The 25,612-nt window shown below is 45.7% G+C and overlaps 1 protein-coding gene across 8 annotated transcripts in view, besides 2 other annotated features; it reads left to right on the plus strand.

The window, feature by feature from the left end:
* The window catches only part of GABRA5 (gamma-aminobutyric acid type A receptor subunit alpha5), an 82,490-nt gene extending 57,235 nt beyond the window's left edge, over positions 1-25,255 (plus strand). For 4 of the 8 annotated variants that reach the window (NM_001165037.2, NM_000810.4, XM_006720459.3 and 1 more), the window contains exons 8-11: positions 13,232-13,375; positions 15,972-16,124; positions 19,262-19,473; positions 23,981-25,255. In NM_001165037.2, coding sequence (NP_001158509.1) covers positions 13,232-13,375; positions 15,972-16,124; positions 19,262-19,473; positions 23,981-24,280 — 809 coding nt within the window. In that variant the 3' untranslated portion in view covers positions 24,281-25,255. Of the gene's footprint in view, positions 1-13,231; positions 13,376-15,971; positions 16,125-19,261; positions 19,474-19,503 lie in introns of all 8 variants that reach the window. The other 4 variants (XM_017022055.2, XM_047432338.1, XM_017022056.2 and 1 more) reach the window with 1 other exon arrangement.
* Positions 5,138-5,686: an enhancer, noted in NCBI's record as "H3K4me1 hESC enhancer chr15:27174238-27174786 (GRCh37/hg19 assembly coordinates)". NCBI's record gives its function as "activates a minimal SCP1, AML or CMV promoter by ChIP-STARR-seq in primed H9 embryonic stem cells {active_cell/tissue: H9 hESC(primed)}" and the evidence as "EXISTENCE:reporter gene assay evidence [ECO:0000049][PMID:30033119]".
* Positions 20,663-21,242: an enhancer, noted in NCBI's record as "H3K27ac-H3K4me1 hESC enhancer chr15:27189763-27190342 (GRCh37/hg19 assembly coordinates)". NCBI's record gives its function as "activates a minimal SCP1, AML or CMV promoter by ChIP-STARR-seq in naive H9 embryonic stem cells {active_cell/tissue: H9 hESC(naive)}" and the evidence as "EXISTENCE:reporter gene assay evidence [ECO:0000049][PMID:30033119]".

Genomic DNA, 25,612 nt, shown 5'->3' on the forward strand with positions numbered 1-25,612 from the left:
TTTTTTAAAAGTTTGTTACCAGCATGTTTGTACTTGGTCGTTGCATCATTTTACAATGGCTGCTTTAAAAACATCTTTGTCCAGTAATTCTGATCTCTGTCATCTCTGCTTGATTTATTTTTATTGAGTTTCATCTCCCTCATTCTTGGTTTGACGAATAATTTTCTATCATAACCTGGATATTCTGTATATTATAATACAAGGCTTTTTTTTTTTTTTTTTCTCACTGCTTTGTCAGGGGAAGGTGTGGTACAGCCTCGTTACCACTGGGTCAGGGTAGAAATCAGGTTCCAGCTTAGCCTCTATTGATACAAGAGTTCCTGGGATTCCTTGTTAATGCTAGTGTGTACAGGACTTCCAGATCCATGCTAGGCCTCTACTGATAGTTCCCTAGATGGGAGGAGCTGAGGTGATTTGTCACTTTCCACATAGCTTTCACTGACACCATATGCATGGCCTCATTACTGCCAAGTGGTGGAGAAAGTTTGGAACATCTACTAATCCTCTGACATGACTCCCATAAAGAGCAAGAGGGAGTTGCCCCTGCTGGTTTAGATGAAACTCCAGGCTTCCTACATGGCTTTTACTACCATTAGGGGACGGGCCTCATTGCAGCTTGGCAGGAATCAACGTCCTGGCCCCCTTAGTCTGTGGCCTTCTCTGGTGTCACTCCATCAGTGGGTTGGGCACCTGGTGAGGGCAGAAGTCTTAGCTGTCTGTTCAGCATTTGCTAGCCTGGAATAGGGCAGGGCCACGTTTTTTGGGGGGATGCTTGGTTGGAGTACAGTGGCCAGTGTCTAAAAGGTTTCTTGTCCTACTAGGTTGCACCCTTTCTGGTCCTGTGGCTAGATCGCACAGGCATCAGTTTTTGTCTGTTTGTGCCCGTTGGTGTTTCCAAGTTGCCAGCTTCTTTAGCTCCAAACCTGGGATGTGTAAGACAGGAAGAAAACCAGACAGTCACCACTAGGCCATCCCTTCGGTTCCAAGACCTATCTGCCTGCTTCTTTCTACCATTCAGATTTTTCCTACATTTATTTTATGTATAATATGCACTTTTATTTATAAATATAAATATATGATATTTATTTTTAGTGGGAGGAATAGAGGAAAATGCATTTTCATCTTTCTGAAAGTGGCAATCCCCCTAGATTTGTTTTCATTTTAATTTATACTTCTTGTGGTTTTCTGAGCCTCTTGAATCTAAATTTGTCTTTCACCAAATTTGAGGCATTTTGACCATTATTTCTTCTAATTTTTTTTTTCTGTCTCATCTTCTTCCTCTTTTTTATCTGAGGTTCTAATTACATGTACTACACCTTTTGGTATAATCCCATGGATCACTAGGGGTGTGCTCATGTTTTTAACCATTGTCTTGCCTCTATATTTTTTATATTGGATAATTTATATTTAGTGCCTTAAGTTCACTGATTATTTCTTCAGTCATTTCCAATCTGTTCTTAAGCCTAAACAATAAATTCATTATTCAGTATACAATATGTATCAAGTTTAGCATTTGTATTGGATTCTTTTAAAGTTTCAATTTCTCTACTAGGATTTACTGTTAGTTTTTTATTACAGCAATTTTTTATTATAAAGCATTACATATTCTCTTTTGTATTCTTAAGCATATTTATAATAGCTACTTTGAAATTCTTAGATGCTAAATCCATCATCTGAATCCTATTGGGATTAGTCTGCACTGATTGCGTTTTCTCTTGAGCACAGGTCCTTTTTTTTTGTTTCTTTTACGTATAATAATTTTGAATTGTCTCCTGGATATTTTATGGTTATATTGTACAGGCTCTGGATTCTGTTAAATTTAAAGTGTTCATTTTTATTTATTTGTTTTTAAGCCAGTTAACTTGGCTGAGTGTGAACTCCCAGTTCTGTCTTCCTTGTGGCAGGCAAGCCCTGAAACACAGGTGGTTCTCGCGCTGGAGTTGGGCTGGTATAGGCTTATGCTCCCCGCATGCATATGCATAATTGAGGGGCGAGTTAGAGATCTGGGGAGAGATGATGTACATCTGTATACATCACTGTGGGCCTCTCTTGTGGTTCTTTTCCTTCTAGGATTTTGCACCTCACTCTCCAGCTGCTGCTTTAATAGTTCCAGGCTCTTCTTTAGGTTCTTCAAGCAAGGGAGATGGAGGGGTCCTATCTGAGCATCAGCTGCCTTGCAGCGCTGACCCACAGCTTCTTAAGTGAAAAGCCATTCTTTCCTCTAAATGGCAACTCCTGTCCATTTCTGCTTGTCTTTGAGTCTCTCCGGGGCTTTCAGGGAGTAGTTTTTCATCTGACATCCAGAGATAATGGATGTTACCTCATAGCAGGCATTCTGCCATTCCTGGATGCAGAAAATGTTTTGATTTCAAGAATTTCATTTTATATTACTTCCATCATTCCAAAGAGATTTTTGGAATTAGAAGAGGAATTATAAGTGATGAGCCAAAAGTTAGGTTAGATGGAAATAATTCAACTTTTTCAAACTATGATCTTTAGATATATACAGAGATTAAGATATACATTTATTTGAGGAGGCCAGTATAATGGAAAGGGACTATCTCTGGGATTTATTTAAATCATTTGCTTCCATGGGGTGGTTGGGGACATCATTACTTAGAACAAAGGACCCTCTGAAGATCCCTGAGGCATTTCATTTGGGAATCACTGATTGATGTCTTTGAAAGAAAATTACTTGTTTATATCCTCAGAGGAAGTGGAGTTGTACAACTTGAAATTATGCCACTCTGTATATGAAAATTGTGCTTTTGATGTGATCAAAAATAAAACACTCTAAGTCAAAGATGATTGTTTTTTTGATCATTGGTTAAGTTCAAGTCAACGTGATACCCAGATGTAATGCTACTGGTGAGCAGGGCAGGTAGCACAAAAGTAAGTTTTGGTAAAGAAAACTACGTGATGTCCTGATTATTTCCTAAATTTTCATCTTTAACAATGAACCAACTGCAGTTAAATCATTTATCACACTCAAAGCTAAAATACTCATTCAGTGAAAGCTCTTCACTTTCTATATTCAGTCAAATAAAATAAGATTCATATTATATATAAGAAGTAAAACCAATAGAAGTGCTCCTTGAACTCAGTAGGAATTTTGAACTCTTATGTCAAATTTATTTTTATCTGCCTGCTATTTTTTTTTTCTTTTTTGAGACAGAGTCTCACACTCTCACCCTGGCTGGAGTGAAATGGCACAATCTCTGCTCGCTGCAACCTCCCCCTCCCGGGTTCAAGGGATTCTCCTGCCTCAGCCTCCCAACTAGCTGGGATTACAGGTGCCCGCCACCATGTCCAGCTAATTTTTTTTTTTTTTTGTATTTTTAGTAGAGTTGGGGTTTCACTATGTTGGGCAGCCTGGTCTTGAACTCCTGACCTCGTGATCCACCCACCTCGGCCTCTCAAAGTGCTGGGATTACATGTGTGCACCACTGCGCCCGGCATATCTGCCTGCTATTGAGATTGATATGATTTGCTTCAGAGGTTGATCATTCATTTATATTTACTGTTAATATTATTACTATGAAAAACAATAAGAATGATTTTATTCATATGTCATGTATTGTGTGTAAACTGTTGACCAAGAGCTAGAAAACTGTACACACTTCACCTTTCCTCAGTTATATGATTTCAGCTCAGCACATGATAATTCTAAGAGAAGAATTGCTATTCAACAAAGTTTTTTTCTTACTTGTCTTTCATCTTTTAGATTTACTAAAAATAGATGCTTGGCCAACTTGTTCACTTATACCATTGGCATCTGAGCATGCAGAGGCTAAATGTGATAGTATAATGAGTTTCAAATTACTCAATTCAACAGTTCTCTGCTATTAGGAGACAAAGGAATGCAATATGTGTCATTATTCTAATGAGCCACATGCTCTAGTTTCTCTAATGCAGAACTGAATTAACAGACATTTCTGTTATTGGTATCTCTACTCTTAAGAATTCCATCAAATCTTGAAATTAGTCTCAGCTTACAAAAGGATGTTTCTCGGTCCATAAGGAAATTCCTTAAAAATAATGGCATGGTGTCCATTCGGAAGCAAATACTTAAACACAACAAGACTATTTAGGAAAAAAATATATTTAGATTATGTCATTCATTTTATTTGTGGAGTGATTCATTAAATATTAAGCCATGAGATGACATCTGGATTCACGAAAATATGTACTAAATTAGAACTGGAAGCTTCTTTGGTAGTCATCCAGTAGAGAGAATTTCAGGAAATGAGGGGTGAATTTCACCGGAGTGAGCTACTATTCCATTCAGACACATGAATTATGCCTGCTGTTGCATTCATCATCCCCAGCTTCTAGTGACTCAGGATGAGCGTGGATGATCTAGAACACAGGTTTCTGAGTGCCTCGTGTGAACATGTTACAGTCTCGACAGTTGTAGAAACATACTGAAGTTTTAACTGTGCGGTGTCTGAATTTAGATTGTTTCAACAATCACGTTGATGCGTTAGTTACCCTTGGTTGTCACTGGAATCTGAATGTTTGTTTCCTCCCCAAATCATGTGTTGAAACCCAATCCCCAGTGTATTAAGAAGTGGGGCCCTTACGAGGTGATTAGGACGTGAGGGTGGGGGGTCCTCCTGCGTGGGATTAGTGCTCCTATAAAAGAGGTCCCAGAGAGCTCTCCCGTCCCTTCTGCCATGTGAGGACAATGAGAAGGCACCCAAGCAGACTAAAACAATTACCATCTAAGAGATACTCTGAGTGTTGCTTTAGTCTGGTTTGGCTGTTATAACAGAATACCACAAACTGAGGGACTTAAAAACACCAGAAACTTATTTCTCACAGTTCTGGAGGCTGGAAAGTTTTGGATCAAGTTACCAACAGTTTCAGTGTCTGGTGAGGGCCTGCTTTCTGGTTAAGACAGCATCATCTCACTGTGCCCTCACACGATGGAAGGGGTGAGTGAATTCCCAGGGGCACCTTTTATAAGGGCATTAATCCCATTCATGAGGGCTCCATCCTCATAACATAATCACCTCCCAACGCCCCACCTGCTAATGCCATCATCTTGGGGCTGAGGATTTCAACATATGAATTTTGGGGGGGACACAGTTATTTAGTCTATCACATTCTTCCCCTGGACACCCAGCATTCATGCTCTTCTCACATGGTTTCAGTCCAAAAGTCTAAAGCCCAAAGTCTTAGCTGAATATCCTCTAAATCAGATATGGGTGAGACCCAAGGTATGATTTATCTTTGGGCAGAATTCTTTTCAAGCTGTGAAACTGTGACCAGACAAGTTGTGTGCTTCCAAAATACAATGGGGGCAGGCACAGGATAGACATTCCCATTCCAAAAGGAAGAAGTGAGAAGGAAGAAGGGAGTGAGAGGTGCAGAGAAAGTCCAGAACCGAGCGGGGCAAGTTCCATCAGACCTTAAAGCTTCAGATTAGCCCTCCTTGGCCCACGCTTTGCCCTGCAGACCCATGGGGAAAGAGTTCCATATCTTCCAGTCACACTGGGGCAGCAGCTGTGTCCCAGCAGTTTTGCCAGGCAGGGATTGGGCCGCATGACTTTGGGGATCCCCTGCCCCTGTAGCAGCTTATGCCTGTGCCCCACAGCTCTCTGGGACTGGGGTCCTAATGGCTGTGCTTGGAAGCCCAGTGCTTTGAAATCTAGGTGGAGGCCATTGTGCCCCCTCTGCTCTGTTGAGCGCAGCCCTCACCACACCAGGGCCCCCCAGAACCCCTGCTGGGGTGGCTGAGGAGTGTGGTGCTGGAGAGCAGGGAGCAGAGCCCAAGAGGTAAGGCAGTGCACATCAGGGCAGGGCAGGGCGCCTCTCCGTCCTGCAGGTACCAGCATCCCTCCTTTGCATTCTCCCATTGTCTTGCACAGCAGCTCTTGGCTTCTGTTGGGGTGGCTGACTAATGAATGTCTTTCTTAAATGGTCCTTTGGCCACACCCATCCCGGTATTCTCTCCCAAACAGGCTTTCTCATTCCTTTCAAAATAGATAGGTTGAACATTTCCCAAATCTTTAAATTCTGCTTCTTTCTTCTTCTTCTTCTTCTTCTTCTTTTTTTTTTTTTTTTGTTTTTTGTTTTTTGAGATGGAGTTTCACTCTTGTCACTCAGGATGGAGTGCAATGGCACGATCACTGCAACCTCCACCTCCCGGGTTCAAGCGATTCTCCTGCTTCAGCCTCCCGAGTAGCTGGGATTACAGGTGCCCGCCACTACGCCTGGCTAATTTTTGTATTTTTAGTAAAGACGGGGTTTCACCATATTGGCCAGGCTGGTCACAAACTCCTCAGGTGACCTGCCTGCCTCAGCCTCCCAAAGTGCTGGGATTACAGGTGTGAGCCACCATGCCCAGCCTGCTCCCTTCTTAACTAACAATTCCATCTTTAAGTCATTTCCCTCTCCTCCCATTTTACAATAAGCTATTAGAGAAACAGGTCACTTCAACACTTTGTTTAGCATATTTCCTTAGCCGATATTCAACTCCATTACTCCTAGTTCCACCTTCCACGAAAACTATGACTATAACACGAACATGGTTCAGTCAAGCTCCTTGCCACTTGGTAACAAGGATCACCTGTCTTCCAGTTTCCAATAACATGTTCCTCATTTTTTGTCTGAGACCTCATTGGAATGACCTTTACTGTCCATATTCCAACCAACATTCTGCTCTGGATTGCTTATATATTCTCTAAGAAAATGGAGACTTTCTCTACAACTCTCCTCTTTTCTTTCTGGGCCCTCACCAGAGTTGCTTTAAACAGTCCATTCATGAAAATGTAGGCTTCTTCTAGCACACATCTCTTCCAGCCTCTACCCATAACCTGGTCCCAAAGCCACTTCCACATTTCAAGGTATTTGTTATAGCAGCACCCCAGTCTTGGTGCCAATTTCTTTCTTTTTTTTCTTTCTCTTCTTTTCTTTTTTCTTTCTTTCTTTCTTTTCTTTTTTTTTTTTTTTTTTGAGACAGAGTCTCACTCTGTTGCCCAGGCTGGAGTGCAGTAGCACATTCTTGGCTCACTGCAACCTCCACCTCCCAGGTTCAAGCAATTCTCCTGCCTCAGCCTCCTGAGTAGCTGGGATTACAGGCACCTGCCACAATGCCCCGCTAATTTTTGTATTTTTTTTGGTAGAGACGGGGTTTCACCATGTTGGCCAGGCTGGCCTTGAACTCCTGACCTCAAGTGATCCACCTGTCTCGGCCTCCCAAAGTGCTGGGATTACAAGTGCAAGCCACTGCGCCCGGCCGCCAATTTCTATCTGGGTTCATTCAGTCTGCTATAACAGAATACCAAATATTGGGTAGCTCATACATAACAGGAATGTATTTCTCACAGTTCTGCAGGCTGGGAAGTTCAAGACCAAGGTGCTGGCAGATTTGATATCTGGTCAGGGTCTGCTTCCTGGTTCACAGACGGCCATGTTCTCATTGTGCCCTCACATGGTGGTAGGAGCGAGGGGTCTCTCTGAGACCTCTTTTATGAGGCCTCCCCCATCATGACCTAATCACCTCCCGAAGGCTCTTACAACCAATCCCATTTAGGATTAGATTTTAACATAAGAATTTTGTGAAAGACACAAACTTTCAGTCTATAGCAGGTGTGTTAAGCATTCAGCACTCAGCTAGGTGCAGTGAGGAACACAGAAGCATGAACCATGGCCTGTTTCCAAGGAGCTCATTATGGGCACTTTTGGAAAATTGGGTTAAATACCTTTGTGCAGTTGAAACCATTTGGAATTCATAGATGGGAATATTTATTATGAGGACCATGCTTTGAGCTGAATCTGGTAGGATTTGAATGGAAAGAGGTATAACGGAAAACAGAACAAAACACAAATGGCCACCGATCAGTTGTCAAGATATTGAAACAAAGGAGAAGCCTCATCTGGGGAAGTGACAGGATAGCATCACCACTCAAACAGGAAGGGTCTTAAATATGAAAGAGTCAAAGTAGCAGGCAGGATATGCAGAAAATTGAGAGTGGACTCCTCCCTTACACCTTATACAAAAATCAAATCAAGATGGATTAAAGATTTAAATGTCAAACCCAACACTATAAAAACCCTGGAAGAAAATATAGGCAATGCTATTCACGATATAGGCATGGGCAAAGATTTTATGACAAAAATGTCAAAAGCAGTTTCAAAAAATGCAAAAATTGACAAATGGGACCTAATTAAACTAAAGAGCTTCTGCACAGCAAAAGACACTATCATCAGTGTGAACAGACAACCTACAGAATGAGAGAACATTTTTGCAAGCTATCCATCTGACAATTGTCTAATATCCAGAATCTACAAGGAACTTAAACAAATTTGCAAGGAAAAAAACAACCCCATTAAAAAGTGGGCAAAGGACATGAACAGACAATTCTCAAAAGAAGACGTTTATGCAGCCAACAAACATGAAAAAAAGCTCAACGTCACTGATCATTAGTGAAATGCAAATCAAAACCACAATGAGATACCATCTCACACCAGTCAGAATGGTGATTATTACAAAGTCAAGAAACAACAGATGCTGGTGAGACTGTGGAGAAATAGGAATGAGTTTACACTGTTGGTGAGAATGTAAATTAGTTCAACCATTGTGAAAGACAGCGTGGTGATTCCTCAAAGACCTAGAACCAGAAATACCATTTGACCTGGCAATCCCATAACTGGGTATATACAAAGGAATATAAATCATTATTCTATTATAAAGATACATGCACGCATATGTTCATTGCACCATTCACAACAGCAAAGACATGGAATCAACCCAAATGCCCATCAATGATAGACTGGATAAGGAAAACGTGGTACATATATACCGTGGAATACTGTGCGGCCATAAAAAGGAACAAGATCATGTCCTTTGCTGAAGCCATCATCCTCAGCAAACTAACACAGGAACAGAAAATTAAACACTGCATGTTCTCACTTACAAGTGGGAGCTAGAACAATGAGAACAGATGGACACAGGGTGGGGAATAACACACACTGAGGCCTGTGGTGGGGTAGTGCGGGGAGGGAGAGCATCAGGAAAAATAGCTAATGAATGCTGGGCTTAATACCTAGGTGATGGGTTGATAGATGCAGCAAACCACCATGGCACATGTTTGCCTATGTAACAAACAGGCACATCCTGCACATGTATCCCGGAACTTAAAAAAAAAAAAAAAAGTAGCAGGCAGTGTGAGTGATGTTTGTTGAGCAGACGAAGAACATGCAAAAATCACTATTTGTGGGGCTGAAAGCAAAAGCTGGGAATTCCCATGAAGTCATTAGAAGTGAGGGAGCAGAGAGCAGGGTGGTGGCCAGATATGAAAAGTGGATGTAGAGGGGAAAAGAGGGACGTAATTCAAAGACAGCCACTCCATTTTAAGACCAGATGACTTGGGAAATACTGTTTTCCATGAGGAAATTGGAAATAATTGGAAGGAGCTGGTGCATTGAAGGTAAAAAAGCCAATTGGAGTATGAGGGAGGGGTAAGCAATTGTTACATGAGAGATTTCTTCCTAAACACGGCTGGCCTCCTGCCTTGCTTCTCACTGCTGTCTGCAGGGCAAACAGTCTTTTCTGCTGGGAGAGTGACAGTCCTTTTTCTTCTTTCCTGATCTGGGCCCATTAAGTTCATAAATAGTAACAGCATGGTCTCTGACTCTCTCCCTGTCAGGCCAGTCATGGCCATAACCCTATGTGATTCTGCAAGGTCTTACTGTGGCACAGTGATGGGAGTGTATCTTCACTGGTACCTGGGCAGACGTGTTATCTGTTCATCCCCATTGGCTTATTCCTCTTACTTCCCATTTGATCTTGGGCAAGGGAAAGGGTGTGGCCAAACCCCACTCACGTCATTTTTACTGTCAAATTTAAAGCAGAGATATTGGGTGTCCAGTAGGCCATCAGAGATAACATGTCTTTATCTGTTTGTATTTTTCAAAGTTTTACCATTGATGTGTTAGGTGCTGACCTGGTGTTCAGCTCAGGAGACTGCAGATGGTGTCATTGGGGTGCTGTGACAAGGTCTTGTGCTGCTGTTACTCTGCTCATTCCCACCCAGGCTTTCAAAGAGAGGGGAGGCTGAGGCGGGTGTATCGCTTGAGGCCAGGACTTCAAGACCAGCCTGGCCAACATGGCAAAACCCCATCTATACAAAAAATGCAAAATTATCCAGGCATGGTGGCAGGTACCTGTAATCCCAGCTACTCAGGAGGCTGAGGTGGGAGAATCGCTTGAACCCGGGAAACAGAGATTGCAGTGAGCCAAGATCGTGCCACTGCACTCCAGCCTGGGTGATAGAAAGAGAATGTTTAAAAAAAAAAAAAAAAAAAGAAAGAAAGAAAAAAAAGGAAAGAAAGAAAGAATGGGAAGCCTAGAGATATGGGTTTAGATAACTCAAACCCTGTACCTTTTCAAATCCCAAAAATTCCAAGAACCTGTTACATTCTAATCTGCATTGTCACAAGCAGTGAAAACACAGAGTCACACAGTCGCCGGAGCTTACCAGAGACTCACAAACTGAGTTTGCTTTGGACCAAGAATAAGAAAGTAAATTAAAGTAGAAAGACCTTTTCGGATTTGACACCAAGCAAAAATCATTCCCCACACGGTTATGTCCATTATAGCTGCTGTTGATGAAGTACCTACTGTGAGTCAGGTGCGTGCTAAATACTCGACATTCACATATCCACTTTGTCATCAGTGTATTAGGAGATGGGGGTTTTTTCCCCGATCTACAGATGGGGAAATTGAGGCTGAGAGCTCAAAGAGGTTGCTCAAGTCCACCCTGGTAGTGAGTGTCAGGCCCATGCTGCCTTACTTCCTTTGTAGTTATTCAGAAGACCCATGGTTTCTGAAATACCTTGAGAATTTGTGCCACTGCCACCTCCCACTCAGGATTTGCAAGGCTAGGAGAGGACAGGCAGGGTCAACTCAGGGGAAGAAGCCTGAAGGAAAACGGTGATGAATTTCCAAGCCCGATGCGAGTGAAAATGTTTCAGACCTTCTTGCCTGGCTCTGCTGATGTGTGGTCAGAAGAGGGTGAGCTTTATGTTTTCCAGAGCTCTAAATCATGACAAATGGCACTGCAACCTGATTGCCTCATTTACTCTTGTCCCGGCAAAAAGATTGAACGCCACACTGCTGACACAGAGAAGGAATTTAGTGTTGGTTGCTGAACAGTGGAGCTGAAATGGACACAAGGGGTCATTTATTCCCACCCTTAATGTGATGAGGAGAGCAGAACTTGGTGATGTCCAGCTGACGCACTGCAACCACATTGTCTCTTGCTGCTGTCATTATTAATGCTATTAACATCGTCAATATCAAGAGGTCATTTAATATTCACTAGTAGTTTGAAAAACAAGATCACGTGAATTATGATGATGCATTATATGTCACTCAGTGATTCTAGGTATCTTTCATCCTTACAATGATTATTTCATTGGATTCTTACTGTAAGGTAAGGATTATCATCCAACCTCTGCCCCCTAACCATGGAGAAAGCGGCTCACAGGACTTGCACCCAGCGAGGCCTCAGGTCAGGCTGGCCTCGGCCCCAGCCGGCCTCCCCACAGCTCTCCTTGCTGGCAGTGCTCAGGCACGTGCCCCTGGTCTCGGGTTAGTATGCCACTTGGCCTCGAGTCCAGGAGGAGCCATCAGTGACTGTGCCGTCCCCAGTCCGATTGAGGAAAGTGATGAGTGGGCCACAGCCTCCACACTTCACGAATCCCATCGCGTCTCATGTCCTCAGTCTGCCTCCCTCCAGGCCTTTGCAGGAGGCCTCTCCACCCTCAGACCTCTACAAGTCCCAGAGGACCCCTATATCCTCCCCCCTGCATCTCTCCTTCTCTTCCTCTCCCTGCTTCCCTTTCATCCTTGAGCAGATTTGGCATTGAGTTGTTAGCTCCTCATCGGCTGATGAGGGCAGCATTGTTTCCTGTGCTCTGCACACTGTTTAGGTGAATGTTTGTGTTCTCAGATGGCCCCTGAAATGGCTTGGCTGTGTGTCCCCACCCAAATCTCACCTTGGATTATAATAATCCCTACATGTCAAGGGCGGGACTAGTAGAGGTAATTGGATTATGGGGGCAATTCCCCCATGCTGTTCACGTGATAGTGAGTGAGTCTCACGAGATCTGATGGTTTTATAAGCGTCTGGCATTTCCCCTGCTCGCACTCATTCTCTCTTCTGCCACCCTGTGAAGAGGTGCCTTCCGCCATGATTGTATGTTTCCTGAGGCCTCCCCAGCCATGTGGAACTGTGAGTCAATTATACCTCTTTTCTTGATAAATTACCTAGTCTTGGGTATTTCTTCATAGCAGCGTGAGAACGGACTAATACAGTCCCTGACTCCCAGAACTGCCCTAAGCTTTGGGCTCCTTTGCAAGCTTCCAGATTAATATATTCCAGCCTAGTCACATCTTTTAGAGGTTGCCCACTCTCCTCGGCTTATGGCCCCCCTTACCCCATCCTCAAGCCAGCAGTGGTGAGTGGAGCCCTTTTGTCATGCTTCTAATCTCTCTGATTAGGGAAGTTCTCTGTTTTTAAGGAGGCAAGTGATTAGATTGTGCCCCCTGGGAAAATCACATATAATCTTCTGATATTAAGGTCCAGAACCTGAATTCCATGTGCAACAGTGTCTTTTGCCAAGTAAGGTACCATATTCACAAGTGTGACACCAGGGGTGCAGGTCCTGCTTGCCACACCACCTTCACACCCAGGATGGCGTGGACAGCAGGTGCCTGTTGCAGAGTGGAAGGCTTGGAGTAGGGAATGCGGCCGGGCGCTGCTTCAGGTGCTCTGTGCTTGTAAATCTCGATGTAGGTCATGCAGTCATAGCCAGAGCCCTCAGACATGGTTGCTGTTTTTATCCCATTCTATGATGAAGGGACTGAGGCACAGAGAATAAGTGACCTGCCAAAGTCACAGAGCTGGAGGGACCCAGGCACTCTGGTCTCAGAGCTCATGTTCTCACCTCCTGCACCATCGTGCGCTCTGCAGAGAAACACAAGTGTACCGGGAAGTGCCAGACAGCAGCCTGGCACCCAGGCCTTTAGACATGGGAAGATGCCGAACTGCAGTGGCGTCTGCCCTGGTCCAACCACCCTATGCATTTTTTAGGTCATGGAACCTTGACTTTTCAAACGTTCTCATCCTCTCTCTTGCTACTTTAGTAAAAGCTTCTGTGTTTTCCAGGCTGGGAATGATTTCATGTTTATGTCACTTTCTGCCCCCTCCTCATACAGATGCGTACCCTAATTCTGAAGTCGTTTACGTCTGGACCAACGGCTCCACCAAGTCGGTGGTGGTGGCGGAAGATGGCTCCAGACTGAACCAGTACCACCTGATGGGGCAGACGGTGGGCACTGAGAACATCAGCACCAGCACAGGTGAGGGCTCGGCACGCGCTGTGCTGCCAGGCGCACTCAGGACACCACACCCTTGGAGAGCTTGCTGCTCCCAGCACCTCTCTGCAGGGGCCACGTGGGAGGCCGCACAGCAGCCTCCCACACAACCTGTCCTGGCCAGCTGTGCTCTCCATGGGCCACAGCTGTATGAGAGCTGGCCAAAGGAATCCTCCCAGCCTGCCCCTCCCTGCAGCTGCACACAGAGGCACCAGCTGTGGCCGGGGGTTGCGGTGGACCTGCTTATATAACACCCCCCTAAGCAGGAAAGGTAGACAGCTTCCTACAAATACCCCAGTTACCTGCTTCCCCACCTCCTGCTTTAAACAGTGCAGAGATTTCCCTGGAGTTGAAATTGGGAAAGCACAACCAGGCAGCCTACAGAGAAGAGCTGAAATGTACAAGAAGGAAGCAGATGCTCTCAATGCCAAGTGCCCTGGGCTGGCCTGAGCCCTGCAGGGCCAATATAGCCCCATCCCAGCCTGGCTTCCCTTGACACAAAGTTGGTGGGGAAACCAAAGAAACAGGATGCATTGCATCTCCAGAGCCTGCAAGTTATGTGGCCAGATGTCTCCAGGACAGGAAGGCCCAGCCATAGAGGTCAAGGTCACCAGGGGTGCTGTGAGCAAGGGAGGGGATTTTGAGCTCCAAAGAGCCTCTGCAGCCTTGGAGAAAAGCCTAAAGGGAGGGAGGGGGCCCTGATGGCAGAAAGAGCTCTAAGCCCCAGAGGATATTTTCAGGGGAACGCTCTGTCAGCATAGCTGATTGTCAGCACCCCTACCGTTGCAGCTGGCCGAGCACACAGGCCATTTAGTGCATAGCCTGTTCTGCATGCACACACACGCAGTCAGCACCCTGTTGACCCATGGGCCTGCGCGCTGGGCATCCCTGGGGGATATGAGAGTCTGGGAGGATGGCTTCACCATTTGGTTACCATGCTAAAGGGAAAGGCAGAGGGAACCGGCCGGTTTTATGCAAACCAGTGGAAAGTAGTGCAGCAGGAGTTTGGTGTAAGCAATTGCGATGCTGAGGGAGGATGCTCCAGTTTGGAGCTGTTTCATGTAGTTCTTTAAATATTAATAACTGGGATTTCTACTCCTATTTGCATTCTACAATCTTTTAAAACAAACACTACCAAATTTTCCTACCCTCAACTCAAAAATAAAACAAAATGAAAAGAACTACCGCCAAAATAATTAGAAGTAGGAGAGTAATTTCAAGTCCTACTGTAAAACAGAATGCCATTTCACTTCTTCAAGTGCTAAGGAGACAAAGACTTGGATCACCAGTAGAGATCCAGTCCTTGCTACCAACATACCCTCTGCCTCTTCTTTGCCCATTTCTCGGCTCTGCTCCCTCACCTGCTGCGGACTATGGGGAAAGTGCACCTTTGCACTGCGGGCCTGTCCAGGCACTGCTGAGATTGTTGGCTCCTCTTGTGTTAGAGGGCAGATTTTTGCCACATGTGATTGCTATGGTTCCTTCGTCTCCGACATATGCCATGTTTTGAGTTGGCACTCAGTGAAGCATCCACAGTGGCCCTTGCTGAGCTGTGGGCTTCCATCCCAACAGTAAGCACTGCAACTGTGCTGTCAGACTCTAATGTCCCAACACGCAGTCCCTGCAGCAGCAGACCACTACTCTGACAGACAGACCAGGGCCTGCGCTGATGGAGCCCCCAAAGCCTGTTCTCCCCACGTTCACAGTGCATCCCAGCTCTCTGGCCATACCATCCACTCCTCGCAATTCAGCCAAAGTTTTTTGAATTGCTCTTCCTCCACCCCTCAAAGAACACTTCCCATCTCCCCAAGGTGAGGCAAATCCAGGTAGCAAGAAGACTGGCCCAGCGGGCCTCACACTCCCTGACCACAGCTCCCGACCTCAGCTCCTTACCAGTTCACCGTGAGGACGGCATCATTCTCAGCAATGAATGGGAGGTCTCCTCGTGCCTCCCACACAGCCAGGCAAATCCAGAGAAGGCACTGGGGCATCGCCAATGAAATGCCCCCGATTTCAAAGAACAGGCGACACCTCTCTGGTAGGTGGCAGAAGGGTTGAGCTGCCAGGACCCAGAGCCTCCTGAGCTGCTGCATCTCACTCTGCACCTGCGACACAGCCAGCACAGGGCCTGCTGCTGGTGGGAGTGGTCGTCTCACCTCCCTGGAGCCTCTAGACTGGAAACAGGAAGGACTCTGTCCACCCTCTGCAGGGCTCTGTGAAATCCTGAGTTACATCTGGGGAGGCTAAATCCTGAAATCCTAATTGCAGAAGCAGGCGAGGGAGTGGGGGGAGAGAGGCACAGATTGTGACTGGAGATTAGTAAAACACACAAATCTGATTTTCCCCAGGAAGAGCATCCGTCATCAAAGGCTCTTCAGAGACCAGGGGTCATAAGACTTACTTATAAAATGACCGATAACAAATTCATGCATCCTCCTGTGTCCTCTCCTTAACCCAGATCATACAAATGAATGCTTGTCCAAACCGACAGGGGAGTGGAAGGGAGGCTCCTGGTGAACTCCTTGGATGCAGCAAGCAGAGACTCTAGGGGACTGATGTGCAGTCATTTGCTTATTTGCAGGCGAATACACAATCATGACAGCTCACTTCCACCTGAAAAGGAAGATTGGCTACTTTGTCATCCAGACCTACCTTCCCTGCATAATGACCGTGATCTTATCACAGGTGTCCTTTTGGCTGAACCGGGAATCAGTCCCAGCCAGGACAGTTTTTGGTGAGTGTCCCCAAGCCAGGCCTGGACACTGGTGTTTTGTGACTGACCCTAACCACCCGGAAGCAACAGCAACAACCTCCACGAAACTTCTAGTGCTGCCTCTTTGTTGTGTGACCTGGAAAAGAAATTGACCCACTAATTAAGAATTTAATGTTAAGGATTAGAGTTTAGGATTTCTCTCCAAAGAAGGGTTTAAGGAATATCACATGGTCTATTTGATAGTTATTTACTTGTTGAAAAGCCTTTTTGTGTGGTTTGACATTGCCAGCATGTATCTGTTTTATGTGAGATTTTGCTATGCAGGTTGAGCATTCCTTATCCCAAATGCTTGGGACCGGAAGTGTTTCAGATATCAGATTTTTTTTAAATTTTGGAAGAATTGCATGATACCAGTTGAGCATCCCTAATCTGAAAATCCGAAATGAGCTCCACGGAGCATTTTCTTTGAGCATTACGTCGGTGCCCAAAAAGTTTTGGATTCTGTAGCGTTTCAGGTTTTGGATTTTTAAAATAAGGATACTCAGTCTGTAGAATTTTTGGTTCTCACCAAGTATGACTTTGTAAGTTAGGCAGTTTTCTTTGAAATGTGCCTGCCACTTTAAAATTAACCACCAAATAACAATCAATGAGATACAATAGTAATAAATTAAATATATATACCTGGTAAGAATCTAGAGCAGCATCATTTTACATCCCTAAGACATAAACTAAATTGGGAGAGCTCTAACTCAGGAGGTACCTCGGCCCAGCAGGCACAGTTGAGCGTCTGAGTCTTAATTACCTCGAAGCTCAGCTTCCTCAGATTCAGGAAGATACTAAAGGCAGTTTTGCCAGTCAGTCGTGATCCTGGATGCTCACATCTTTGTAAACTGTAAAGTACGATTCACACATCAGCATTTGCTATTGCAGTTTCCTTTCCAAAGCAGGAAAATATTAGCGTGCATTTTATCTTAATGCTCCCCCAGGGTGTAGGCTGATCAAGAGCACAGGGAGTTCAGGAGTGAGTGGCACAGGGGTGCTCCCGTCTGATCATCACTCTGCCTCCAGTCAAGAGTCCAGCTTCACTTACCAAGCCTGAGCGAGCATCAGGATTGTTTCAGGAAGGTGTGGAGGTTGGCTGGTGGCCAGGCAGTGCTCCCCAAGTTAATGTGCCTGATGAACTCTTTAGGGGAAATTTAGCTGGTAGGCAGAAAAAAAGCTGGGAGGGTATTGCCTGTTATTGTTGGGTTTTTTGGCGGGGGGTGGAGGGAGATTCCCAATGCATGTTAAGATATTAAAGGCCCAAGAAGAAGACTCAAGAGGCTTGTTTAAGATCATGCATAGAACACTTCCCCCGCAACACAGTGATTAAGTGGATTTCTCAAAAAAAAAATCAAAGATTTCTATTGATTCCTTTGGAAGTGTTGATTTCATGCAGGGAATGACGTTCATGGAGTACTTGTAGAGCTGTGAAGGATGGCATTGAATGAAGCCCCAGCCATACTACGTGTCCTTGGTGCTGTGCTGGTCTCCTGGGACTGCCGTAACCAAGTCCCACACACTGGGGACTTATACAGCAGAAATGTATCATCTCACACTTCTGGAGGCTGGAAGGCTGGGATCAGGGTGTTGGCAGGGCTGGCTCCTCCTGAGGCCTGCAAGGGAAGGATCTGTTCCTGGCCTGTCTCCTGGCCTCTGGTAGCTCTTTAGCTCATGGCAGCATCACTCCCGCCCTCACACGGCATGCTCCCTGTGTGCATGTCTGTCTCCAAGGTTCCCCATTTTATAAGGCATCAGTCATAGCAGATGAGGGCCTATCCCAGTGACCTCATTTTAACTTAATTATTTCTTTAAATACTGTATTTCCAAATAAGGCTGTAATCTAGAGTACTGGAGGTTAGGACTTCAACATATGAATTTTGCAGGCCCACAGTTTGACCAATAGCAGGTGTGTTACACCCCCATCGCCCACACAGGTGCACGCTTATGCAGAAGGCAGGGCTAGCAGGTGGAAGCTATGTGAACTGCGAGAGTCCAGCAGGCCTGGCTCCCAGTGTGGGTAGTCTCATCTCCTTGCTGGCGAGCTTGGGCACCTCGCTAAACACTTTTAAATCTTCAGGCTCCTCCACCTGCCAAACAGGGATACTGACACCCATCCAGAGTGCAGCTTAGACGAGAGTCTGACACTCAGTGGACCCAGTAGCTGGTGCATAATCTGCCAGTCCAAAGGACTGTCCCCTTCCAGGGATCCAGCCTGGCTGTGTGGTCACTGCAAAGTTTTCCTAGTGGCCACAGGCACCATGCACAGCAGGCTCCAGGGGATACTGTTCCCTCTTTGAGGGAGTGACATGCCCAGACCCAGATTTAGATATGGCGCTTCTGTTACTCTCTGGCTCTTACAAGTCTGCAGTCGGGTGAAAGTCTGTCTCACCTGTTTGCAGGGAGCCCTCTACTTCCAGGTGCATAGTAAGTCACTGGGAGGCACCTACTGGCTGCGGCATGAATGTGACTGTCATTCTGCCTTGGATCTTGCCTTAGTGCTGCAGAATCGTATCACTCACTCTACACGTCTTTGTTGAGCACTGGCTGTTTGCCTGGCTTTGTTCATGGCAGTGGGAGCCAAAATCAGACCTGAATCCCTGCCCTCCTCAGTTCACATTCTAAAGGGAAGGGACAATCAAGACACAGAACATCAGCAATCATCTATCTAAGTGCAGTGAATGTGCTAGATGTTAGCAAAACAGTAGAGGAAGGCGCAGGCTGGGATTAAAATCACCAGTCCCTTGGGAGGCCGAGGTGGGTGGATCGCATGAGGCCAGGAATTCGAGACCAGCCTGGCCAACTTGGCAAAACCTCGTCTCTATTAAAAATACAGAAATTAGCCAGGTGTGGTGACACCTGCCTGTAATCCCAGCTACTCAGGCAGCTGAGGCACAAGAATCGCTTGAACCAGGGAGGCAGAGCTTGCAGTGAGCCGAGATTGTGCCACTGCACTCCAGCCTGGGCGACAGAGCAAGACTCTGTCTCAAAATAAAAATAAAAATAAAAATGACTAGTCCCCTTTGTGTCTATCACTTTGGGCATGTTGTACTGGGGTCCTGGGTGCCAGCACTGACCCCTGTTTCCGTTTTTCACTCTGCCCTGCCTGACCCCCGCAGGGGTCACCACGGTGCTGACCATGACGACCCTCAGCATCAGCGCCAGGAACTCTCTGCCCAAAGTGGCCTACGCCACCGCCATGGACTGGTTCATAGCCGTGTGCTATGCCTTCGTCTTCTCGGCGCTGATAGAGTTTGCCACGGTCAATTACTTTACCAAGAGAGGCTGGGCCTGGGATGGCAAAAAAGCCTTGGAAGCAGCCAAGATCAAGGTACTGACTATTTCTCCTCCTTTCTTCCAGGTCCCCTTGACAGAGAAAGTGTGCCTGATTCTATCCAAACATGAGACAAGGTGCTGCTCCTTCCTACCCGCCAGCCCCCGAATGCTCCTTTCCTCATATTCAAGGCCCTTACCAAGTCTTACTGACAACAGGTCCAATTTCACTCCAGCAAAAGGCGATGGGGTGTGAATGGCTTGGCCCTATTTATATTCAAGCCTATTATTTTGGCAGAAGTAACTCCTGCATCTTGAGGGACGACTTGTCTGGTTTTAGTTGTGGAATCTGTTCTTACGCTCATTTTATCTCATTTCACCATGCAGGGTGTCCTCTTCAGGTGGCCCTCAGGTCGAGAAGGGGGCACCAATGTAATGGAAGGAGTTCCTCAGCAAAGCACACCCAAGCCCCACCGAGTGCATGATTGAACCCCCTTACACCAGGCACATAAATTGTTGTGAAAGCATTACTCTGTTCAAAGCAAAGAACCACCAAGTATTTAAAGGATGATTTATGCCCAAACATTTGAAGAAAAAATGTTATTCCAAGCTGCACTGTTTCCTTGGGGAGATAAGAATAACATTCGTGGACGGTAAATAAAGCAGCATGTGGTGAACGGCTAATTTCGCCACACAGAAAACAAACACACAAATCTCTGTATGGAGAGAACAGGAGGTCAGAGCCATCGGGGCGACCTGAAAGTAAAACTTAATCTGTCCTTTGGAAAATCAGCATGAAGGGAGTCCTGGAAGGCATTAGAGAGGCCTCGAAGTGTAAGTCCGACCTCCCAGCCAAGGGCCACAAGCCAGTTACAGCAGAGCAGGAGGCCCTGGTTCCACTGGGAGACCTGCTTCCATCCCATCCACAGCCCCGTGCTTGCTCTGAGGGTTTGACTCTGCTGTCAGGAGTTCTGGCCTGACCTCGCCTGTTGGGCCTTCACTATTTCCAAGTGCCAGGAGCCCCTCCCCCACTGTAGTTTCAGCATAGAAGCCCCACTTCCAAGCCTAGCTCCCAGGTTGGAGGAAGGCCTGGCAGGACCCATTCTGGGTGCTCTCATGAAGGGAGGAAAGGGGAAACCGGAGGAAGGGCCTCGGGCATGGGTATGCTTTGAGGGCTGAGAGGAGGGACAGGAGTGATCTGACTGCACTGGGTGATAGGGACTCGGGGGCTGGGAGCAGGCTGTTCTCAGACGATAGAGGTTCTTGGCCGACACGTTTGAACTTGTTCCTGCAGACCAGGGGTCCAGAGAAGGTGCTGTGTGGGGAGGAACGAGAATGGAGTCTGGGGAGACGGGGCTTCCCAACACCCTGCACTGTGTTGCTGGAAGGTGCTTGTTTGTCACCTGCCTGGGACATAGATGGTGCATGATGGATAGTGGGCTGGAGCCTGGTCTGAGGTCAGGGAGGAGCCGGAAGTCCCTGGCAGTCACTGAGGTTGTTGGGCTCATGCCTGTGAGTCTAGGAGGAACGTGAGCCCCCGGGTGAATGGAGAGAGCACACCTGTGGCTGGGTGTTCTTGTTGGGTGTCGCCGACACTGTCAATCACCATGTCCGCCCTGCCTCCTGTGGCGGCTGATCTAATCACCATAGATCTGAATTCTGAATGGAGGGTTGGAGGGAGGAGAGAGGATGAAAGTGACCTGCACTGTCTAATCCGAGGAGAGAAAGGGTCTTCTAGAATAAGCCGCGTGCCTCAAGCTGGCTTGTGGAATGTTCAGACTCGTTCCTGGGAAGGCAGTGGCGCTGGGGGTTCCACCCCTGCTGCCAGGAAGGCTCTGCGTGCTGGAAGCCATGGTGCATCTGCAGGCATGCAGGCCTCACACCCCGCGGTCAGACACTGGCGCGAGCGTGAATACCACAGCCTGGTGTCAGCCTACTCGAGTAAACTGTTCCATGGAAGTAGAGAGGACTTTAAAAAAATAGACTGTGTTCACCATTGTTCCAAGTTGGGATCTCCAGAAGCAAACACTGGGTCAGAGTTTGGGGTGTAAGGCAGTTTTTAGGAGTGAACGTTTGGGAAAGGAAACAGGAGGCAGTGAGATTCAGAGAGGAAGAGATCGAACCATGATGCAGGCCCAGCAAAGCCCAGGCTAACCCGCTGGGGCGTGTGAGCTGATGCCCAGTGGAGTTGCCTCATGTCAGGGATGTGGCCAGGGCTTTAGACTCCTGCCTCGCTGCCCACCAGATGTGTCTGATTTGCCCAGGAAGGGCCTGACTCTGGCCAGACAGCCCTCTGCAACTCAGGCTGCCAGAAGTTCTGACACCTGGCCACACTGCCTGCAGCTGGGGAGCACGTCCTTCTGGCAAGGCGGATTCCAGGGCGCGTGTAAATCTCCACCACCAGCGCCGTGACTATGCTGAGTCCCAGGCGGGTGCTCCCTGCCACCCGCCCCCACCCCTGCTGCACATTCCTTCCCAGTAAAAACGCACACCCTCAGGACAGAGCAGTATCTTCTAAAGGGCTTGCCCTTCACTTGGTTCTACCCAGAGATAGAACCATTCTAAGCAGTAACTCACATGTATGGATTTCTTCTGGCAGATCTGCATGAGCTCTCAGTGATGGTGGGGAAGGCGGGGACGGCAAAACTGCCATCGCATTTCCGAGGTGTGGCCCGCCTCCCTCAAGCTCCCGCACGGTTTCCCCAGGGGGTCCTCATGCCCCTGCCCCTGGCCTGGTTTTGGTTCACCTGTTTCACCTGTTTCCCCTGACGCCTGCTCCACGCTTGGGCTTTCTGCTTTTTATCTTTTCTTTATTCTTAATGGTTGACTTATTTTCTTTACTCTCTTGTGTTTTTCAAGTTTTAATTAATGAGACTATATTACTTTAGTAGTGGAACACAGGTTGTCTAACATTTTATTGTGCACATTTTTAAACATACAGCAATGTTTAAAGAGGTTTACGGTGAAAACCTGTCTGCTGTTAACACTTACGTATGCCTGTGTCCTCACCACCTGTCACCTCTCTCTCTATCTGTCCATCAATACACCCATCCTCAATTTATCTGTTTTTTTTTTTTTTGCTACATTTCAAAATAAATTTCAGATGGCAATGCATTTCCCACTCCATATGTCAGCATGCATGTCATTATAACTAGAGTCCAATACTAGCTTACTGTTTTATTCCTTTGAAGCAAAATTTGTAGTGTGAAACGCACAAGTACTAACAGCACCTTTGCTGAGTGTGGACAAATATGGACATTGTGTGTAACTCAAATCCCTGCCACAGTAGAGGACATCACCAGCCTCCAGAAAGCTCACCATGCCTCTTCCCAGGCAGTGCTTGACCCCACCTCTCCAAACATATCCACTATTTTTATTTCTTCCACCATAATGTAACTTACCTGTTTAGAATTTTATATCCAAAAAAAAAACTTCACAAAAAATGTATACAAGAATGTTCATAGCTGCTTAATCCGTAAGAGTTAAGATTAGAAAGCCCAGGTGTCCATCGATAGGATAGTAAACAAACGGTGGCACATTCATGCAAAGGTAGGTCACTCAGCCATAAAAAGGAGGGGACGACTGATATACACAGCAATATGGGTGATTCTCAAAAGCCTTGTGCTGGGTGGAAGATACCTTCCCAAAAGAATGCATTCTGTACCATGATGTTTAATCGCATCCTTTCCTCCTTCCCAGCAGGCCACATCTTAGGGCTTCCCTTATATCCACACACCGTATTCCCTCCCGCTGGTGCACTTGAAGGTAAAGAAGCGATGGCTGCCTTGCAGGGGGCAAGTCCTAATTCCGTTTATGGCAAGATCTTGAGAAATGCCAGACTTTATTTTTTTTCTTTTATTTTAGGTTCAGAGGTACATGTGCAGGTTTGTTGTATAGGTAACTCATGTCATGGGAGTTTGTTATACAGATCATTTTGTCACCCAGGTACTAAGCCTAGTACCTAATAGTTATTTTTCTGCTCCTCTTCCTCCTCCCACCTTCCACCCCAATGTCTGTTGTTCCTCTCTTTGTGTTCATGAGTTCTCATCATTCAGCTTCCCCTTGTAAGTAAGAACATGTGGTATTTGGTTTTCTGTTTCTGTGTTAGTTTGCTAAAGATAATGGCCTCCAGCTCCATCCATGTTCCTGCAAAAGACAGGATCTCATTCTTTTTATCATTCTTTTTTATGGCTGCACCATTCCATGGTGTATATGTACCACACTTTCTTTATCCAGTCTGTCATTGATGGGCATTTAGGTTGATTCCATGTCTTTGCTATTGTGAATAGTGTTGCAGTGAACATTCTCATGCATGTGTCTTTATGGTAGAATGATCCGTATTCCTCTGGGAATGTATCCCGTTATGGGATTGCCAGACTTTAATAGCAATCATAGCTCTCATGTGTGCCCTGTCTGCAGGCTACCTGGCGACATCAGTGGAGGAGGGCCCTCTCCCAGGCTAAACAGGTGTTTCTCTCTTTTGAGAGGTATACCTTTAGAACTCCAAGGTGAGCTGACCATTGCCTGCAAATGGCGTGTCCTTACATTCGTATTATATTTTGCAGAAAAAGCGTGAAGTCATACTAAATAAGTCAACAAACGCTTTTACAACTGGGAAGATGTCTCACCCCCCAAACATTCCGAAGGAACAGACCCCAGCAGGGACGTCGAATACAACCTCAGTCTCAGTAAAACCCTCTGAAGAGAAGACTTCTGAAAGCAAAAAGACTTACAACAGTATCAGCAAAATTGACAAAATGTCCCGAATCGTATTCCCAGTCTTGTTCGGCACTTTCAACTTAGTTTACTGGGCAACGTATTTGAATAGGGAGCCGGTGATAAAAGGAGCCGCCTCTCCAAAATAACCGGCCACACTCCCAAACTCCAAGACAGCCATACTTCCAGCGAAATGGTACCAAGGAGAGGTCTTGCTCACAGGGACTCTCCATATGTGAGCACTATCTTTCAGGAAATTTTTGCATGTTTAATAATATGTACAAATAATATTGCCTTGATGTTTCTATATGTAACTTCAGATGTTTCCAAGATGTCCCATTGATAATTCGAGCAAACAACTTTCTGGAAAAACAGGATACGATGACTGACACTCAGATGCCCAGTATCATACGTTGATAGTTTACAAACAAGATACGTATATTTTTAACTGCTTCAAGTGTTACCTAACAATGTTTTTTATACTTCAAATGTCATTTCATACAAATTTTCCCAGTGAATAAATATTTTAGGAAACTCTCCATGATTATTAGTTGACCAACTATATTGCGAGAAACAGAGATCATAAAGAGCACGTTTTCCATTATGAGGAAACTTGGACATTTATGTACAAAATGAATTGCCTTTGATAATTCTTACTGTTCTGAAATTAGGAAAGTACTGCATGATCTTACACGAAGAAATAGAATAGGCAAACTTTTATGCAGGCAGATTAATAACAGAAATACATCATATGTTAGATACACAAAATATTTCCCTGAGGAAAAAAAATCAACTGCTTAAATTTTTTGGGAAGAAAAAGAAACATTTCTTACCCCACACCACCCACTACCTGAACAATAGCCAAGAAAGGAAAGGAGATGTTAAAACAAACAGTGTTTTGATGACATTCTCAGCACTTGGCCCATGTGATCGCTGTCTCTGAAACACTGACCACCTCTCCCTACAGCCAGCGTGTAGTGCTTCAGTGGTGAGAAATTGTAATTGAGTTATTTTCCATTTTATTTCCTTGTATGTATTTCATGACTGGACTTACTGCTCTGTCAGCTTTTGTATATGAATCTTAAATGTTCATTAAAAAATAAAAAATGAACTGATCTTGTGGACATATAGGATTCTTTTTTTTTTTTAATTTCATGTTTTGGTGGACTCATTTCCTGAAAGTGGCATAAATGGAACCCACCGTGAAATTGCTTGGGAACGAATCAAAACAAAACAAAACGTTTACTTGGTGGCTTGTCTCTGGTCCAACCTAATTCCACAGAGTAGCACCTGGAGAGAAAACTTACTTAAACCACAGCGAGGGTAGACAGCTAAAAGCAGGTATAGTCCATCACAAATTTCTCAGTGGTGCAGTGTCGCTTGGGCCTCTACTTGACAGAGTCTTCTCTGAGTGTGTTTCAAGGTGGGTGTTTGTTGTGGGCATGGTGACTACTTGGTTCTTTACATATGGGAAGATTTCA

This window comes from Homo sapiens, chromosome 15 (genome assembly GCF_000001405.40).
Source record: "Homo sapiens chromosome 15, GRCh38.p14 Primary Assembly".
In the NCBI taxonomy this organism is placed as follows: domain Eukaryota; kingdom Metazoa; phylum Chordata; class Mammalia; order Primates; family Hominidae; genus Homo; species Homo sapiens.